The sequence below is a fragment of the Homo sapiens genome, chromosome 2 (assembly GCF_000001405.40).
Source record: "Homo sapiens chromosome 2, GRCh38.p14 Primary Assembly".
Lineage (NCBI taxonomy): Eukaryota > Metazoa > Chordata > Mammalia > Primates > Hominidae > Homo > Homo sapiens.
This window is the reverse complement of record NC_000002.12, coordinates 163,983,254-163,988,588: the sequence shown is the minus strand read 5'-3', so window position 1 is coordinate 163,988,588 and position 5,335 is coordinate 163,983,254. Positions and strand designations below refer to the sequence as shown.

The 5,335-nt window shown below is 35.9% G+C and overlaps 1 annotated feature.

Moving 5' to 3' along the window:
* Positions 316 to 1,302: an enhancer, noted in NCBI's record as "VISTA enhancer hs421". NCBI's record gives its function as "enhancer in: neural tube[3/4] | dorsal root ganglion[3/4]" and the evidence as "EXISTENCE:transgenic organism evidence [ECO:0001131][PMID:17130149]".

Genomic DNA, 5,335 nt, shown 5'->3' with positions numbered 1-5,335 from the left:
ATCTTATCAAATGAATGAATATATAGACTTTTTTATTATAATTTTACATTATACATAGGCACACTGTCTAATTTGATTACTGAATACGTGACATTCTTCTTTGACTTATCCTTACCCACTAGACTGAGTAGACTGAAGTGCCCTCAGCTTTGCCGTAGGCTCCTAATGCCTCAAGCTACTGCTTTAGTGACTGATTCAAGGGAAAAATAAAGAATGAAAATTCAAAATGTGACACTTTTAACTAATGAACTGCAGGATAATTTCATTTCGGCCCTGGCGACGGCTATCCCTTTCTACATTTATACTCTATCGTTGGCCATAATCTTGGGAACGAACATGTTTTAAAAATGGAATAATGTAATTATTATCACAACTAATTTGTACCTCAAACAGCCCAAATTAAATTCAATAAGTGAAGGAGAAATTACTGTGATTTAAGGTCTGATGTTTCACCCTACTAAATTTTTAATTGTGGCAAATATGTTCTGCTTCGGGAACATAGAATAAGAAGTGCGGCAAAGACTCCTGACATTCCTCCGTATAAAAATGTTTTTGTAATCACTCTATTTAAATAGTAACATTTTATTTTTTTAAGCACTTAGTTTCTTGATCAGGATCCATATTCATGGGGCCTCACTGTAATCCACTTTACCACTTAATGTTGCAATTCAAATGTTCAGTCAGAAGCAAAGCCCTCCAGAATAAAGCATGAATATTACCGTGTGGGGCTGTAAAGAGAAGACTATTAGAATATATCACCAACACACTAGGGGACCATTTAGTCCACTGCTCTAAATACATCATTTAATTACAATGGAGACATTACTTCATGTTTCTACTGATGTAAGTATTATTAGAATTCATGATATTCGCAGGCTACTGTGGGCCATTACATTGGCCATAAGCTATTCCATAAGATTTACTACTAAAGGCCCGCAAGGGTATTTGAGCATTCATGGATTCTGTGGCAGTAGGCTTTTATCTAAGACACATAAGTGAGGGACAACCGAGTTATTATCTCTAAGAAACATAGCTTAATATTTTGGATTCTAAAGGTTAAGGTACCATAAATCCTGAATTACTCTGAGATATCACATAAAAAGACATTTTTATTTTATTTTACTCTATTCTGGCTCTTAAAATATTTTATGATGGCAGTTTTCAGAGTTGTACCATGTTGTTTACATTCAGTCCCTGGATGCATCAAAACACTGACACAGCATTTCTTTTAAACTGTCGTAAAAAAAGCAGAAATACATTGTGTGTGTGTGTGTGTGTGTGTGTGTGTGTGTGTCTGCATGCACCCATGTATGTTGTGTCTGTGGTATAATAGGGAAGAGAGAGGGATGGGTTAACTAAATGCTATATTTTTTTAAAAAAGCGTACTCAATTTCCAGTTTGATGAGTATTGATCAGTGCTTTGATTGGCCCTTTTCGTGGTGGGTGTCATTGTGTTGGGCTGAGCTGAGCTGATTTGCCCCTGGATGCAAAGCCTTAGGACCTCTCAGAAAGGAGATTCTGTGAAACTATACGAGGAAGTGCAGAATCTGCTGCAAGAAGCAGCTTTCAAAGGCTGCCTGTTTTTTAGACAATGAAAATTGCCACCAGAAAACTCAGTAAAGACTGATGAAGGGGCTTAGTAAATTTGTCATGAAAATAGGCAGAGAAAAAAAACTTTTCCCTATTATGAAATGAAAACTTCTGGATATCTTCCTAACAAATGAAAGATTAGGGATTTGGGAAAGCAATGCTTTGAAAAAGCAGGTAGAACATAAAATTCAACCAAACAGTCCAATATCCATGTGTCATGGCAATGCCACCTTTACATTTCTCTCCAAGCCTCTTTCTTGCTATTGTAAGGCACCTGTTAGGTTTCTGAGTCTTAATACATGGAGCATATAACTCTTTTGCATTTTCCAGGAAAACTAAGGCAGATTCATCAGCATTGGCTGTCTTGTCGAGAAATGGCTCCAAAATGACAAACAGCCGCAAGCCGCAAGAAGGGTATAGTGAGGGTACAGAAGCTGTGTTTACTGAGAGACAGGAGGAGCTATTGATTTGACATAGAAAACCAACTGCAAAGTTGGACAGATAATTCAGATGTTTGATCTCTGAATCTGTGATATAGATGCCTCACTTTTGTGGCAGATTTTTTTTTATCATCTTCCTTCCTCCTTATCCTTCCCTTTACCCAACACCCATCAACTCTCAGAACATAATATCCTGGGGCCCTAAAACTTCTCCAACAATAGGATTTCCACCACTGCTACATGAATAGCTACCAGAAGGGCTATTCATTATTCCAGAAAAAGTCTCAGTTTCACAATGCATTGTTCTTATAGCTTTGAGTAACATACTAAAGTTCTAAAAGGTTATGTCTAAGAAAAGGAAGTAAATAAAATAAGATGATCTTTCTTGGACAAAATTAGCCATTCTTTATTAAAATCTATAATATTTAATTACTTCATTAAATTAAAAAATCAAATGTAAGCATTAATAATATTTATCACAAAGCCATATTACTTTCTATTATTTTATCCAGTTAGGATGTACTAAAGCAGTGCCCTTTTGGCCCAAACCTCTGGATTTAACCACTAACTACTTTGCATAAGAAGTATAATGTATATTTTTAAATCTAAAACATATTCAATGTAAGTCATATTTTAAAACCTAAACATTGATCAAGACCATCCTGGCTAACACGGTGAAACCCCGTGTCAACTAAAAATACAAAAAAATTAGCCGGGAGTGGTGGCTGGCGCCTGTAGTCCCAACTAACTCGGGAGGTTGAGGCAGGAGAATGGCGTGAACCCGGGAGGCGGAGCTTGCAGTGAGCCAAGACTGTGCCACTGCACTCCAGCCTGGGCGACAGAGCAAGACTCCATCTCAAAAAAAAAAAAAAAACCAAACCTAAACGTTATGGATTAGCATATCAGGTTTAAAATAAAAAATATCTCTTGGAAAATATTAATGCTATACTTTTAAGAAACCACCATGCTGTGAAGGCCACCCAAGATTTCTAAGTCTCTAAATATGAACCTTTAAGTTGATATATAGTTATTGATGACAGTAAAAGAAGTGTGTACCCAATTAACATAATAATTAAACTATCAGTATTAATCATCACTACTCTGAGTACAAGTATTATAGAATACTTGTATAATTGTATAATAGTATTACTATACTATTATAGTATTATACTGTTGTACACAATAATATACAGTATAGTATAATTACACAATAGCCCCATCATGCAGATACTATTTTTATCTTGATTTTACAGATGGGAAAATTGAGGCCTAGAGAATTGAAGCAACTTGCTCAAAGTAATGTAGCCAGCCGGCAGCAGAGGCAGGGGTTGTGCTATAGCTGTCTGACTCTCCTGTTACACTCATAACAAAAGCTCCCTACTCCTCCCACTCCATGGGATCACAATACATGTGCACTGAATGAACTCGTGGATACACATTAAAGAAAGAAAGGCAGGAAACAAAATGCTGAGGTGTTTATCGGAAACTTTCTATACTTTGTACGTGTTTTTTAGTTAGACTATTAACATATCTGAACCTACTTTTGCTCCCCTCATTTTCTTTTCTCAAGCTACGTTTTTTTTCCAACTATAGATTTTTTTAACCACATACCTCCACCAGCTATACTCTATGTTTTTATTTATTATCCTTAAACAATTTAGTTCCATCTGTCTCTTTAAAAAGTAGTAAAATCACCATAATCATTATGTTATCCAAATATTTGTAGAAAAAAAAATGTGATGGTGTAGGGAGGTGCTTCCCTCCCTTCTAATTTCAAACCAAGTACCTCTTGCTCTCCAGAGCTGAACAGCACCTAAGAGTGGGAGCTTGGTCCCAAGCCATACCAGAATTCCAGTAGACAGGGTCAGCACAGGATTTTGACAGCCTCTAAGCCAGAGGTACTCTTGGCCAAGAGGCCATGGATGAAGATCAGAGCTCCGTGATTCCTGCACAGAGAAAACTTCACCCATAGAGACCCAGAAATGTCAAATAAGAGCAGCCTGAGAAGATTTGTAGGTTGAACTGGCCCTCAAAGAGTGGGCTGAACATGTACACCGGTGCTTGAAAAGGGTTAAGATTTCATTAACTTACTGATTATATGTATTGAGCAACCACTTTATGCAAAGTCCTGGTCCAGGTGTTGAGGATATAAGAATGAACAACGACAACATCAAAATCCTGGCCTTTTCAATCCATCTCTGTGGTGGGAAAGGGTTAAACCCAAGCTTCACATCACCCAGAAAACTTCTCACTGCTCATTGGAAGTGTGGTTCACCCTCAACTCAGACTTCTCACTAGGTTCAGTTGCCACGATGGCAGCTCCAGATGTAGCTTTATACTTTTAGACATTGTCTCAAGGAATTCAGCCATTAGGTCCTGGATCCCATATTCAACTCTCAGAGGTTTTTCGTTGAAGCCACTCTCACTTTGCCTGAGGTAGGAGAAAGCCCCACTAGGGGCAGGTATGGAGCTTAACATACAGTTGTCTCCAGAGAAACTTCCCTTTACTGGCTGGAGGTGGATGATCCCTAATATTGGGGGCAATGATTTTGCAGTCTCTCAGCATGGCAGAATGTATTTAGGGAGTCTTTAAAAAAATGTCTTTTGTTTTCTTTCATGTAACCTTATATTTTTAAATTAGGTATCCTTGTGTATATTTTTAGATTGATAAATAAACTTTTTAATCTTATATTTAAATAATTGCATGAAAGGATATCATTATTGATAAAATAAAAGCTGTTTCATTATTCTTTTAATGTAACCAATGAAATCTATCACAGCAATTTGATACCTACCATTATCCTTTTAAAATACATGCATGAGATCGTCTTTAATAGTTGAAAATTTTACATCATCCTTTTTACTTCCTGAATTTAAAGCCCATTTTCAATTCCCTCTACAGAAGTTTTACCTAATGTCTGATATTATTATGCTTGAAATTACTTTTCTGATCACCTTGTCATGCTTCTCTGGAATGAAAATCTGCGTACAAATCAAAATGTAATTTAGAAATTATTATGACCACAATTTTCTAAATGTTTAAAAATTATTCTGGATTCAGTTGTCATTATAATTATTATTACTACACAATTGATCAAAACAACCTGGATATATTACAAGGGTTGATAAATACTTTTCAAAGATAAAGTTATAATTTTATTGGAAAGAAGTACCTTAATGAGATGGCTGAACTTTTTATTTTCAATTAGTTTATGTATTCGTGGATGAATATAACTTATTGCTGAAATAACATATAATTTAGCATTAAATCTATTCCTATATTTTATAGATATAAGCATAAGAAA